At 42.0% G+C, this 15,512-nt stretch overlaps 2 long non-coding RNA genes across 13 annotated transcripts in view; one reads left to right on the forward strand and one right to left on the reverse strand.

Annotated features, from left to right (window-relative positions):
* DIRC3-AS1 (DIRC3 antisense RNA 1) overlaps positions 1 to 15,512 on the forward strand; it is a 61,472-nt gene that overhangs the window by 16,015 nt on the left and 29,945 nt on the right. Inside the window, exon 4 of the long non-coding RNA NR_133642.1 lies at positions 3,939 to 4,038. This is a non-coding gene — a long non-coding RNA (DIRC3 antisense RNA 1). The remainder of the gene's footprint in view (positions 1 to 3,938; positions 4,039 to 15,512) is intronic.
* Positions 1 to 15,512, reverse strand: part of DIRC3 (disrupted in renal carcinoma 3) — a 506,425-nt gene that overhangs the window by 14,729 nt on the left and 476,184 nt on the right. The window lies entirely within an intron of this gene.

The following is a 15,512-nucleotide window of genomic DNA, read 5'->3' on the forward strand; positions in this document are numbered from 1 at the left end:
TTGCAATGTGATACATGATTATATTAGTAATTACATTAAATGTTGGCTATATTCTCCAAGTAAAAGATTAAGATTGTCAGACTAGATAACACAGTATGGATTTGCAAGTTGTTTATTTTTAGCTACAAGAACTACAAGGAATGATATTGTTGAGTCCCAACCTTAGAAGGTCTAAGTTCTATCATATTTGACTTAGCTGATCTAGAATTACAAAGTTGGGAGGTGAACTATAACTATTCAAGTCCAGGAAAATGATATTGATCTAAGTCAGATTTAGTAAATATGTAAAAGTTCTGAGATGCCTGATTATATCTAGTTTGTATTGCTTTAAAATTTAATCTAATATATTATAATGTTTTATAAAAAGAGGAATTGATTAAGAATTCAAAACTTTTAGGTAAATCGTGCTATCTTCTGGGAAATTAGACTCAATGCATGTTTATTAAAGGAAGGTATGTCCATATCAGTCCCCCAAAATGAAAAACTGCAGTGAGAAAAGCATTTTCTCTCTCCCTCCGTGTCTAGGAAGACTTGAGAGTAAGGATGAAGCCACTGAGTGCCTCACTGGCTGTCTGGTCGGAAACCTCTGCAGCCAGGGACAAAATCCTCTCAAGACATTCCTTTAATTATGACTTTAAATGAGAGGCTGGAGAATGAAGGCTACAAACATTGTTGGGTGTTAAACTCAACGAAAAGCCCAGTTTCTGTCTCAGAGAAAACTAAACAATTGTGTCATGTCTCATTCAATAGCCTCTAGGTAGTAAAATGACTAGGGTAGAGAATGTGAGGGAAGAAGCCTACCCCTTCTAAAAATGTTCAGAATCTTGATGAATATGAGCCTAAGGAATTAAATAGGACTGAAAAGGGCATTTCTTTTCCCCCTGGCAGCTCCTCAACACTAGAGTTCCACAAAAAGTCACAAAGGAGCTGTTTTTCTGAGTTTGTCAGGTGTGGCTCCTTACATGGAAATGATTGTGTCAGTAAGACTGGATTATTCTGGTTTCAATGGCTGCATTTGTTATCTGAAATCTGAGCATTGCATCACATGAAAATTATTTTATTGTATGCTAATTTATTGAAACTCAGTAATCCCCGTAACATAAAAACCATATGGTTTTGTCTTTATTTGGTTATTCAGGGAACACACCAAAATCTTGCAATGCCTCACAGATGTCATTCTGAACAATAGTTATCAAACAGCACCAAGAAGGAAAATATGATTAGTTAGGCTTTCAAAACCTCCAGATTAATGAACTCTGGACAAGCACGGATTAATCAAAGTTCATTCAAATGTTACTGAGTATCTATATATGCCATATATATTTACCTCTATTATTTCTTTTAAACCTTATAGCCTTTAGGTACATTCTGTTATTCCTGTTTTACCAAAGAGGTAATTGAAATTCTAAGAGGTTACACTATCTCTTTGAGGCCACAGAGCTAGTAATAAGGGTTTGGACCAGGACTTCTGAATCTAAGTCTAATATTCTTTCTACCACTCCTCTTGTTTGTCCACAATCTTTATATTTGTCATCACTGATAACCATAAATAATAGCAATGATAATCCAGAGAGTGGTACTTCTACACGTCTTTCTAATCTCTGCCACGTGATTTCATTCTATAAATGGATTCCTCTGAAATTCTTGAAAAATAAAATCTGAAATGCCAAAATGAGCTTACAAGATGTAAACTCATTACAACACTGTAATGAGTTTACAAGATAATAGTAATAATGATAAAGTTGGGTGAAGATGGGGCTTTGAATGCCGAGCGCGGTGGTGGCTCATGCCTATAATCCCAGCAATTTGAGAGCCTGAGGCGGGTGGATCACATGAGGTCGGGAGTTCAAGACCAGCCTAAACAACATGGAGAAAACCCGTCTCTACTAAAAACACAAAAACTTAGCCAGGCATGGTGGCATATGCCTGTAATCTCAGCTACTCAGGAGGCTGAGGCAGGAGAATTGTTGAACCTGGGAGGTGGAGGTTGCGGTGAGTCAAGATCGCACCATTGCACTCCAGCCTGGGCAACAAAAAAGTGAAATTCTGTCTCAAAAAAAAAAAAGAAAAAAAAAAAAGATGGGGCTTGAATTTAAGCATTCATACGTCAAGAAAGGCTGCATTAGTTTTCTTGGTTCTTTCTAAATTTCAACGACCAGAAATTTATTTAGGGGGCAAGGCCAGGAAGTACACAAATGTGTTTTGGCCTATGGGGGAGTGTGGGTGATGATCATGTGACTTCACTCGTGTGTAGGTGTGAGTGTGAGTCTCTGGATATTTAACAAGATGATCAATTTAGACCCACATGCCCAAGGGCAGATGGTCCTGATGGCTAAGGAAAAAGGCAACTGGAAAAAATTGGAACTGCTGAAGGAAAGATGGCTCAAGGCTCAGCGCTTCCTGTAAAGTGGCAAGTGAATTTAGCATTCGTGAAAATTTCCAGTGCTGTTTGGCATCCAGAGGGACCCAGGGAGTGCATTCTGCTTGCCTGTGCCACCTCCTTGCTCTGGCTGGGGCATAAATTGCCCTCTGACTCTGGCCTGGCACAGCACTGCCTCATGTTGAGGTCCATGCCCCTTTGTCCTCATCTGCTCTGCTCAGAGGTGCTCCTAAGGGTGCCTGCCAACTATGCTGCCAGGAAATGTGGGCACTGAGCAGAGCTGGTTCAGAAAGACGGGGAAAGCAGAAAGCAGAGAAAGAGCCCATGCCCTTGAGGGCAGAGAGCAAGGGAAGAGCATGGGCAGGATGGAGTTGATAGATGGGAGCCCAGCAAAGGTACCACGCCCTCCTTCTCACCTCCTCAAGCCACTGGCAACATCCATATTGGGTACTGGTCTTTTCTGGGTTTTCCTCAACTCTATCTAATCACATAACTAACTCAAAGGTTCTCAGGGACCAACTAATTCAATCTTATTTAATTGAAGAGAAAAACAGAGAAGTGAGATTCCTGTGGTCATCCTGAATTAGCCAAGGCCTGGGAATCAAGATGTGAGAGTCTAGTCCTTCCATATGCCAGTAGTTTTGCTGCATTATTCTGACTAGGCTGAACTGTTTTGCCAAGAACATCCCAACTCCTAGCTACTCACTGTCCCTTACACCCTCTCTACTTATTCTTAATTCTGTTTAGTTCCTGAGTCCAAGCCTCACTCAGTTTACCCCTTCCTTCCACAAACATTGTCCTTGAGCACCTTGATGGGACAGGCACACAGTGAACCAAGTCCCTGCCCACCTTCTAGTAGTGGAATTTATGTTCTCCTAGAGCCAGCATGTCAGAGGGTTTCTTCAACATCTAACTCCATTCGTTCACTTACTTTATAGTTTCTGAAAACCATCTGCATTTTTTACTTTTTAACCTGAACACTTTAATTTCCTTCTCTTCCCATTCAAATCTCCCAAAACTAAATGATTTAAATATTATTTGAAATAACAATTCTATTCACTCTGATAAGACTTTGAGTGCTTTGGTGAAAACCCCACAATGACCTCAGGCCTTATGAGCATGTCTAAGGAAAGGAGGTTACTGCCTTTTCCCAGTTTTTAAGCCCAAAACAGCAGGGGTGGGGGGTACATGTTGAACCAGCTGTATGAGAAGCAAGTATGAATGGAACATGTACACGCAGGACAGAAAATGTGTAATGGTTGGGCTGGGTGGCTGTGGCCAGCTTCTAGAGACATTCCCACTGACAGCTAGATATGCAGAAATCAGGCTGAGGTCCACAGATGGACAGAACCACCAGGGAAGGAAGCACAGCCCCAAAAGGCATACACCAAGGCTCGTTCTGGCAAATGAGAACTCATGAGGCACCCAGGCTGCTTTCCACAAATCTCAAGCAGTGGAATATGTGTGTTCATTTGTTCTACTTAATAGTGGGTTATCTAAATCTGTTGTCTCTTTCCTTCTTTTAAAAATTATTTGTTTTGTGTTCTTTTCTTCTCAGAAAACCAAAAGATCCTGCCTTACTATGCACCTATGGCCCTTCAAAGGCGAGAGTAGAATCTGCTATGATTTAGAAGCAAGCAATAAAAAGTACACATCAGGTGAGTGGATGCTAGCTAAGACCTTGGGCTTTGGGGTCAGACAGGCCTGGGTTTAAATCCTGGCCCTGTCATTCTGGGGAAACATGTTTCTGCTTTCTCCTATATGAAATAGAGGCAGTGGGTATCCTGAACATGTCACCTTTACTTGTCCAGCTTGTCAGTTAGGGTTTGGTTAGGGAAACAGAGCTGCTGTAAACATTATGGGAATAAGGGATTTTATTCAGAATTGGAGCCTGCACAGATGTAGAAGGAGGCATGAAGAGGGTATTGGAGGATTGCCCACTATGCAGTCTGCATCCTGAGTCTGTGGTGAGGCTGGACACGTTCAAGCTTACAGGAGAACTGGAGAAAGCAAGCAACACAGCGGTGGAAGTGAGACCACTGAAGGTAAGCTTGGGAGGGGGTCCCGACACCACCACATCAGTGGATCCACAGCTAAGTGATTGGTGGTGGCCTGGGGTTCTGCTGTTTAGCAGGGACAAGAGTGGAGGAGACAAACTGGACTCGGAACAAACTGGGAGCCTCTGCATCCATCCGTAACTGTCTGGCCGTGACAGTGGTTAGAGAGGAGTGGCTTCTGTGAAACTCTCACAATCTCAAATCTCCCACAAGTGCCTCTTTCAGCTAACTCTAAACTGGTACCATAGAGGAAATGGATTCTGAAAACTTGGTCTCCAACCTTAGACAAATTGAATAATTAATATGTCCTCTCCTGCTTCTTCTGTAACTGAATTTGCATTGGGAAGCAGGCCTGTCACTCTCAGACTTTGTGGTTTGAGTAGGGCTCACTTCAGCACCACCTTTTCCTCTTCTCAGCCCCACGGACTGGCATGAGACTCAGGCCTGGCCAACTGAATGTCACACACCTATGACCATCAGTTGGCTCAGAGATGGACTCAGGACACCATCACAGCCAATGAAACCCTGTTAGGGAAATTTGTCAGAACCATACAAAGAAATAGCTCCACTTTTCCATAGAGATGAGACATAAGCCTGGACTAACTGGTGTCCAATTTGCCATCAAGAGAGCATCTGAGAAGACAGAGGAAAACTGGGGAAAGCGAAGTCTAAGGAAGGTGAGTAAGGACAAGTCCAGTTGATATTACATGAATCACCTGGACCTGGAAATCAAGGCATTGCTGGATTCAAGGCCAAGAAAAATTGGAAGCTGGCTTGAATCAGGTTCTATCACTTGCAGTTGAAAAGGTCCAGACTAATATGATAACAAAGGAGCAAGTAAGCAAGATTCTGCCCTACAGTAAGTGCTCAATGCATGTCAGCTGGTATTATTATTATACAGACTTCTATTTCTAGCCCTTTTATTTCTACCACCTCTCTTCTGTGTTTTATGTAAAGTGCATAAGGATTGTTCTGTTTGGAAACATCAAACCATATAAAATGACACCAGCAGGTCCCTTTCTGTCTGTCAGTGTCCACAAGCTCAACAACCAGGATCAGCAGACAAAAACAGCTAAGCTGGAGTCAGTGTTTTTATGAAGAAACAGGAAAAGAACTTACTTGGGAACTGTAGCTCATCCTCCAATATTCTCCATCCTATCACTCTTTTCATGACAGTTTCTTCTTGGCCCTGAAGTTGCCTTGTCATGGCTCCCTGCCTCTGTCCTTTCTCTGTCTCACTTACATCTTCCAATGAGGAATACAGCAAGACCTTTGGATGAGGACCTCCAAAGGTCCTCAGTATCCTTAGGACACTCGGTGCAGAACTAGAGGGACTGAGAGGAGGAGCTTTTGCAGGTTAAATGACTAGTGAATGGCCTTTCCTTATATTTCCATTAGAAATGGGATTAGCTACACCTGAGAAGGAATGACTTTGGAACAACTGATCCCTAGCTTTCCAAAATATGAGAAATTGAGATGCAGGGAGTAGTAAGCACCTAGTTAATGAGTCAAAGCATATTTATAAAGTTCACAGGGTACATAGCATATAGCAGCTGTTCTCTATCTCAGTTGAGTTTTGACTAGGAAATGGGCTTAGGATAAAACACATAGGCTTTTGAGTAATCATTTGTAAGAAATTGTAGATAGTGACCACAGTTTAATAGCATTAGATAAATTATGAAAAGTCACTGAAATACCTTCTCTGGAAAATGTTAGAAGCTCAAGTACAATGGCTTAGTTAAAGGCAGGTGGGGGAGAAACTTGAAGAATGTGGTCCAGTACAAGAATACCCCATTTTTCCCCTAAGGCAATGAAAATGACATGAAGTAATCATAGTTATTTATACAGGAACAATTTAGGAGACTTAGAATATTCACTTCTTTTGCCTTCTAGCTGAGCATCAAAATTCTCTCTCTGTCTCTGCCTCTCTCTCTCTATTTTCCACTTCTAGCTCCAACTATTTTAAATCCCTCCCCCAATAGAACTCATAACAAACATAAAACAACATTTGTTGTATGTTTACAATAGATGTTCAAGCTAATATTTATGTAGGCTTAGCCCTGGCATTAAATTAAGGTTTGGTTCACCAACAGGGTGCCTAGAGACTTCACCTCTATTTCCATGAGGGACTGAACAGCCTCTTGAGAAGGGACTCATCAAAATGGAAGAGTTGGCAATAAGAAGTTTGGCTAAATAACCAAGCACTGAAGTTGCAGAGGAGAAAGGATTTGAAAGGCAGTACAGTGTCCAGGGGCAAGTTGGCAATTTTTAGCAGGAGGTGAAGTGATGCCAGCAGAGGTAACAGTGCTCAGAGGGACCAGTAGTCCCCAGGAGGAGCAGGGGAATCCCCAGTGGATCTGATTTGTTCAAGAGCACATGTGAGATTATCAGCTGGCGTTACAATTTTGGAGTGGCAGTGAGAAGCAGTGAATTTGAGGTCACTCAATTTGCAGACCCCAAAGGGTGAAATGTTGAGAAACATGAGTTACACATGTATTTAACAGCTCTTGTGTATTATCACAAATCCTATTTCACCTCTCATGCCCCCGAGGCTTTGGTGTCCAGTTCTCTGAAGACTTCATCAATCCTCAGCCATAAATCACCTGAGAGCAACTCACCTTGCTTCATACTATGAAGCTCCCTGATGTCACAGCATGGCAGGCCTGTGGCAACCCCTCAACACTTATGCATGATCCCAAACAGCTAGAGGATTAACACCTACGGTGTAACCCTTGACCAGCAGGAAATGGAAATTACTGTCTTTTTGTCCCCGCAGGTGAATGGTTCTAAAATGCATTTTATAAGCCTTCTGAAATAGTCCCACAGGTCAAGCACCTACTTGCTCCAGTGGTGACCAACTCAATGATGCATCCTTGGGTTGACTCTCCCTCCTTTCCAGTTCACTTTCCCCGCCCCTCACTCCTGCACCTCAGCATCACATTCCTGAATAAACCACTCACACATCTGTCTTATTTCAGACTCTGTTTGGGGGAATCCACAATAAAAATTTGTCATTTTGAGTTAAACATTGCTCTCACCTTGAAGACATATTTCCATACCTAGAGATTTCTGAAGTTCTCTCCCTTTTCCTATCATCTCCTTTGTGCTTTGTCTGACCTCCATGTTACAGAGCCCCATGATATTTAGAGCCAGTACTGCTAGGGAAGTAGTTCAGTTGTGTTTTAAATGGTTCAGCAACTTGTAACATCAACTGAGAACCAGAGGAATACACTTGGAGGCCAAGAAAAAAATGTTAGCTAATATGTACCATACAGTATGATTCCTTGGGTAAGGGAAAGTATATGCAAGTGACAGAGGAAAATTGAAAGTTGTAGCCCTTTTTTGGACTTTAGATTTGGAATTAAAGTTTCTCTTCTCTTGAAAGACCTTCTTTTTGTGGATAATGATGAATCTGAAGACCAGAACAGTGGGCCAATTTGCCTTAGTTGAGAGTGGCAAATAAATGAAGAACTGAAGAACGTATCTCTTTAACTAGTGCTCCTTTGTTGAGAAGATACAAAACAAACAATTGAAGGGTATGGATGAAGCCATTGGCTTATTCATGTCTCTGTTGATCATAATGAGATTAATATATATAGGACATTCACACAAAGAGGATATTGACTCGATGGCTTACAGATTATTAGAGTTAGAAATGTGACCTACTACTAAAGGAAGAATGTTTCAGGTGTGGATCTCTGATTTAAAAAATACACCACACTTGCCTCAGTGAAGCAAGTCAACTTAGGTGCTGATACAATGCCACTGCAGCTGTGCTGAGTTCATGAAATCAGATCCCACTCTCTTCACCTACCCCTACCGTATTCATCCTACTTTCCGTCTGCTCTGCCCTTCCCATTTGGTAACCTAGTCATGAAACACCTGGCTCTGGGTCCTTCCTTCAGCATCACTCCACGTTGTACTGCTGGCATCGCTTTTCTTGGCACAGAACCTCTTAGGGCTGCTATCCTAGGAGTAGGTGCTACTCAGGCTGGCTTAGTCCCAGGCTTCACTCACTTCTTGGCCCATGGCCAGGAGGACCGGAAAGAACAAACTCTCTGCACATCTCTGCAGGTGGCCACAGAGCCCCCATCTGAGCCTTGCTGATGGAGAAGAGCATGCTGCATCACAAGATAACTGTGTGGCTCTGTTCAAAAACCTTGTTTAGAAGTTATTATTTCTTTTATTGCATTAGAATTTGCCTCACTGTAGCTTTTGTGCTTCTGTCCTGGTTCAGCCTTAGATAGCAGTGCAGCCTGGTCCATGTGAAAGCTCTTGCAATAGGCCTTTCTGCTAGTCAGGAGTTCTCAGACCCATCCCTACTCTTCACTTTTCTCAAGACTAATATCAGACTCCTGGGCTCTTCAAGGTTTCCTCATATGATAAAAGTTCTAAGCCCTCCATTGTCCTAGTCACTGTCCTCTCTGTTCCATCCCTGTCTGCCCTTCCAAGATGCTGCACCTGGAGATGAATTTGTCCTTCCTGGGGCAAGTCACCATGAGATGATTACTTTTGGATCATACTGAATTTGTGGGTTAAATAAACTCATAGGTCTTTATCTCATGCACTAAATCCAAATTCGATCTCTTGCCGTAAATCATTTTTTTGAATAGCTGAACAATAAGTAAATAATACACAAATGAAAACTAATCAATATTTGAACATCCTCAGTATTTTCAGCCCTAGTTTGAGCCAGACATAGCTCATCTTGTATACTTCACTAAGGACACTTTATACGATCAAGCAATTAATATTATGATGTCATGTCTCGCAAGCCCCATAGTGTCACTTCCAGTCTCTTCACCACAAAGAACGTTGAAGCCTTCGTATTTTTTTGAAAATCATATTTCTAGCTGCAGGATGGGATGTAAGAAAAGTTCAGATTAGGATTATTCTAGGCTCCTGACTATAACTAAAATCCTGATTTTTTATGGAAAGGAATGAGGATCATTCCTTCAAATTAGATTTTTGTGATAAAAAGAAAAAAGTTGGTAATCTATTCAAAATTGTAACAAAAATAACTGCATTTTTCTTTGGAAAATAATAGTTGATTCCTTTTTGCTTTTTTTACTTATGAATTGGGGTGCAATAGAGTTTAATAAAAATGATGTGAAACACTCTTATAAGGCTAATTTATCACATTTGCTTCAAGGAATTGTCCTTTCTAACAAAATTGTGAAATGGAACTGAACAGTAGCATGATGAGGCCTCTACCAGGAGGAGGTACAGAACAAGGCAGGAGGTCAGTGGTTAAAGGACTCCTTGCTTATGCTCAAGAAATGTGGACCTTATTAGAGGTGACACAGTGAAATCAGTCACCTGATTTCGCAGGTGACTGTGGAGCAAGAATGCAAATCCACAATATTAGGATGAATGTGAGAGGAGAAGGGAAGGAGGCCATGAGGGAAAAAAGGACATCTAATTGGGTCTGAAAGGAAGGGTAGAATTTAAGTAAAGAGCACTGTGTACATATGGGAATACCATGTACTTTCTCATGGAGAGAGGCCTTCTGACAGTCCTGCATTGATCCTGCTTCTTTGACCATCCCTTGTTAGCCAGCAGGTCATTTGGCCTCACTAGTTGCCTCAGTGCTGAGTGATAGACTCAGCAGTCCCCAGCCTCTTTGGCACCAGGGACTGGTTTTGTGGAAGATAATTTTTCCATGGATCAGGGAGAGGATGGTTTCAGGAGGATTTAAGTGCATTACATTTACTGCGCACTTTATTTCTAATATTATTACATTGTAATCTATAATGAAATAATTATACAATTCACCATAATGTAGAATCAGTGGGTGCCCTGAGCTTGTTTTCCTGCAACTAGATGGTCCCATCTGGGGGTGATGGGAGACAGTGACAGATCATCAGGCATTAGATTCTCATAAGGAATGCACAACCTAGATTCTTCACATGTGCAGTTCACCATGAGGTTCACGCTCCTATGAGAAGCTAATGCCTCCGCTTAAACGACACAGGAGATGGAGCTCAGGTAGTAATGAGTGAAATGGGGAGCAGCTGTCAATACAGATGAAGCTTTGCTTGCTTGCTTGCCGCTCACCACCTGCTGTGCAGCCTGGTTCCTAACTGGTACTGGTCAGTGGCCTGTGGTTGGGAACTCCTGGTAGACTAACAACAGAACAAAGCCAAGTCTCAAGGAGAGACAGTTGTATAGATGCCTTCCTGCCCATTCTCTGTTGTGGGGGCCAAATCACACAAGACCTGCATTTAATTCTTTATGGGCTTAGGCTGTGAATTAATGTAAAATCTCAAGAAACCAAGATGACAGGCCAGGGACTAAAGAGCAAAAGAAAGACCACAGCTATGGTGGGCGAGGAGACAAAGTCAATCCCACCGGGACAGATGGTGATGACCCTTATCAGTTCTATTCTGTCATCTCATAAAGGTAAAGACTTGTGTTCTTTTTCTTAGGACAGTCCAGATGGTATTGGCTGTGCTTAAAGAAAATTCAGACATGTGTGAGTGTGGCTGGAATTGACATTCATGAGGTCTTCCGTTTTTATTTGAAAGGGGCAGAGTAAGTATTTGTGAACATTGGATGGTGATGAAGAAAAGGAAATGGTGTCTAGTATCCTACCTGGCCTCATGGACCAAGACTAGAAGGATTAGAGGCAAAGTCGAAGGAAGCTGCCACCATAAAGGGTTCTGTGAATGCTGTTTGGCTGAAATGTGTGACAAAGCACTGGGAAGGGTTTCATTGCATTAGCTCAGGCCATAGCACGACCCTTAACCAACACCTTAAGGTGATGGTCCCCTTGGCATAAATATTGGTGTTAAAATCGAGGTTAACCTTAGTGATAGTATGGTTAAGAGTCCCCTGCATGACTTTGGAAGTTGAAGATGCTGATCAGGAGAACTAGAGCAGGAAAGAGAAAATATGACTGAGGCTAAGTGGTGACTTGGTATTGACTGATAGGTGAACACAGGAATGAATTTCAGCGAGAACCCCCAGTAACTGTCTGGGGAGTGGAGACTGTGTATGAACAGGACAGAAAAAAAAGCAGATTCGGGTAGTGTCCTGTCGTGTGTCTCTTTTACAGTCCTGAAATGAAGGACTTTCAGTGTTTTCATTGAGCACCAATCAATTCCCTCTTTACAAAAGACCATATTGGAACAGCATCAAGGTTTAGGGATATTAAAGCAATACAGTGACACTGGAATGACCACTGAGAACCAGCGAACTTCTTCAGCCCTTATATCCTCAGGCACTCTGGAAGCCATGAATCTGGTTTTCTTGCTAAACTGTGTGTACTGCACAGAGTACAATGGTAAAGGAACAAATATTGGCTCTAAAATCTCTTGTAAAGGGAAGGGTGGTCATCCCTTTAGATGGCAAATTGAGTTTCTGTAATGGGGTTTGCTCTGATGTTGCATTTCCACTCAGGCATCAAGACATTCTGTTGTTTAAAGCCCTAGATGGGTGATATTTCTTTCATGTGCAAGGCCCGAATGCTTCACTGAGCTCTCTCTTACCCACACACACTCATTTAAACCTTGGTCAAAATTATCCTTTAGCATCTGCATCTTCTCAGAAGGCGGAAGGGTCAATGGGGATAATCAGGAGAGATGAGGTGCACTTTCAGAAGTTGGAGCTGAGAAGGTGATGGAAGTATCTGTAAAGTCGTTGAACAGCTGCACGAACTATAGGGGAAGCATTTCTGGAGGCAAAAGGGGAATAGCCCTTTCCTCTTAAACCAAAGCGAGCACAGCTCCAAAGGCACTTAGATGGAGAGTTCATCGGAATGTGAGCTCTAAGAGTGGCTGAGAATCTGACAAAAACAGCCATCTGCCAACCCAAAATTAAAACTCCTCTGTTTAGCACCCAGTAGAGAAAGTCAACCAGATTGACTTCGCAAACAAAGGACCTTAAAAGCATCACCTAAGAAAGTGTGTCAGGATCCACAGACATCCAGAGCATTCTCTATGGTTCATTACTTACATTATTCTTATCTATTTACACATAATGTTTAGATGTAAAATCCTTACAATGAAAAGGGTGTATATGCTTTAAAAAAGGCACAACAGGGATCTAGAACTAGAAATACCATTTGACCCAGCCATCCCATTACTGGGTATATACCCAAATGAGTATAAATCATGCTGCTATAAAGACACATGCACACGTATGTTTATTGCGGCACTATTCACAATAGCAAAGACTTGGAACCAACCCAAATGTCCAACAATGATAGACTGGATTAAGAAAATGTGGCACATATACACCATGGAATACTATGCAGCCATAAAAAATGATGAGTTCATATCCTTTGTAGGGACATGGATGAAATTGGAAACCATCATTCTCAGTAAACTATCGCAAGAACAAAAAACCAAACACCGCATATTCTCACTCATAGGTGGGAATTGAACAATGAGATCACATGGACACAGGAAGGGGAATATCACACTCTGGGGACTGTGGTGGGGTCGGGGGAAGGGGGAGGGATAGCATTGGGAGATATACCTAATGCTAGATGACACATTAGTGGGTGCAGCGCACCAGCATGGCACATGTATACATATGTAACTAACCTGCACAATGTGCACATGTACCCTAAAACTTAGAGTATAATAAAAAAAAAAAGGCACAACAGAGAAGAGTTGAGCAGGTGGTGTGCTGGCTCACAGATGGCCTTGAAAAAGAGGGTAATCCTAAGAATTAGAATGAGTTGGTGGTAGTTAAATAGAAAAGAACACAGCAAACTGCATCCCAGAGGCCTGCCAGTAGTTGAACTGTTTTGACCAACAACAGACAAGTGTGTGTGCTTTCTAATATGAAGTTCTGCCATAGTCCAGGCCAGAGGTAATAAGCAATGGAATAAGGCAGTGAGATGCAAAACCAACTTGGGTCTAGGAACCAGACCTTATCCATTTCAGAATCCATGGTGCCTCGATGGCACCTGGCACAGAGTAGAGGCTCTGTATGAAATTTTCTATGGCAATGGGCTCTAGAGACTTTGGGGAAATGCTAATGTGGAAAAACATGTTTTCATTCTTTATAGGTGGGAGCCTCTATTTTTCCTGCTTGCTTGCATATGGTAATGAAGAATAATAATAGGAACTGAAATTCGCTCATTTGAGTTTCTCCCTACAGAGTAGGTAGATTCCCAACAGGGTACCTAGTATATGTTTGCTAAATTAATGAATGAATACGTGAATGAATAGATAAGTGAATCAATGAACACATTAAAGAATGAATCAGTGAATCAATGAATGAATCCATCATTCAGTCAATGAATCTTATTCATCTTCTTCTAGATAGGCTTATATCTAATGGAGTGAAACAGCCCTGGACTTGGAATAAGAACCAGGGTTTATGCTTAATGTATTCCTTGCACAAATATTTACTGAGCACTTGAGCTGTACGCTAGGCTCTCTGCTACTACCATGACATGAAAGAATGCTAGAGCTATAGTGCAAAGAAGACAAACTTCCTCTTTTGTGAAGAAGAGGGAAGACACATAATAAATAATAATAATAATAAATATTAGTCCAGATAGCCCAAGGGTATGCAGAATTGGATAGGTAGGTAGGGATTCTTTTATAGAGGGAAGTCAGGAAAGGACTCTCTGAAAGTGACATTGGAACGGAAATCTGCACAACGAGGAGGAGCAAAATAAAAGCCTGGGGTAAGAGCACTCTAGGCAGAAGGTACAGGAAGTGCAAAGGCCCTGAGGCAAGAATTGGCCCAAATTGCCAAGGTAGAGAAACAAGAATGTGCCACTGTACCTAGGACAGGCAGGGAAGGGGAGTGGGGTGCCATATAAGGTCAAAGCAGTAGGTGGGACTTCCTTATTTTACCTGATTATGAATTGGGACAATAAGAACAATAGCTCATAGCTGTTGAGAGTTTACAATATGCCAAGCATAATTGGACTGTCTTACTTAATCATCACAACAACCCAACAAGACAGGCAGGGTGATATTCAAAGTATTTCACCGCTGGCATGTCACAGGCACCAACCAATCAGATAATGCCAGCCTCAACTATCCTCTAGCCATATAAGTATAGACAGGCTTGATCTCGGGTACCACTATTTCTCCCACTTAACTGGGTTAGAAAGCTGAGTTTAGAGATGGGGGTCAACACCTCAGAATTATACAGCTGTCCATTTTACCACAAACTATATGTTGAAAACGGCAAGTAACCTACCTCTTATAAATGCTGCTTAGGCAGCTCAGGGAATTCTTTATGTAATGTGAAAATAAGTGATGTGGGGATTTACTATCCATACTATAGAAGAAAGGGCACTATGCCAGGAGTATGAAATCATAGAACTACTCCAAGTACGAGACTTTGAGGAAATTGCTTTACCTCTCTGGTTGTCAGAAAACTTCTAGCCATGGGCAGTAAATGCGGGTGCTACTGGCACCTTGTGGGTAGAAGCCAGGGGTGTGGCTAAACATCCCACAGTGCCCGGACAAGCAGCACTACAAAGAATCATCAGCACTGGGTTGAGAAATCCTGCTATCAATCCCAGAGAGGTAACAGACATTGTGAGGTATGACGTTAGGGAGTGGTGGGGACTACAGCAAACTTCAGAGTATGCACAGTACACTTGCTTTCTAAAGGCATTTCATATAAAAAATAATTTGTAAACTTTGTGGACTGAAGAGAACACATCTTCAGGCCAATTTCAGTCTTTTATGGCCTTAACCAGATTATGTTGCCCATAATTTTCTTTAAACAGATGAGGATAAAAGTCTCTTAGTCATGCAGGCATGTGTTTGTGTGTTTGGGAGGGGAGGAGGGTGTAAACATATATACATGCACACACATATATGCTGTTATACACAAACACATTGGCGAGAAGATTTAATTTTAAAGTGTTTTCAGAAAATGAGGCCCTCATCCCCCTTAGAATCCAGTCCAGGTTTTTTCAATTCTGTAACTAACTTTTCCCTCCTTCAGTTATACCAGCCCCCTTCCTCTTGTTCTGACTTTGGCAAAGATGAAGCCCAGCTGCTCTACTCCACCCATAAGAGGAGCTTCTGGTTTTAGTTTTGGTCCCTTCCTGTTGCCTAAAGCCCTTGGGAACGAGGCACCCTCACTCACGT

Source organism: Homo sapiens, chromosome 2, assembly GCF_000001405.40.
Source record: "Homo sapiens chromosome 2, GRCh38.p14 Primary Assembly".
NCBI lineage: Eukaryota > Metazoa > Chordata > Mammalia > Primates > Hominidae > Homo > Homo sapiens.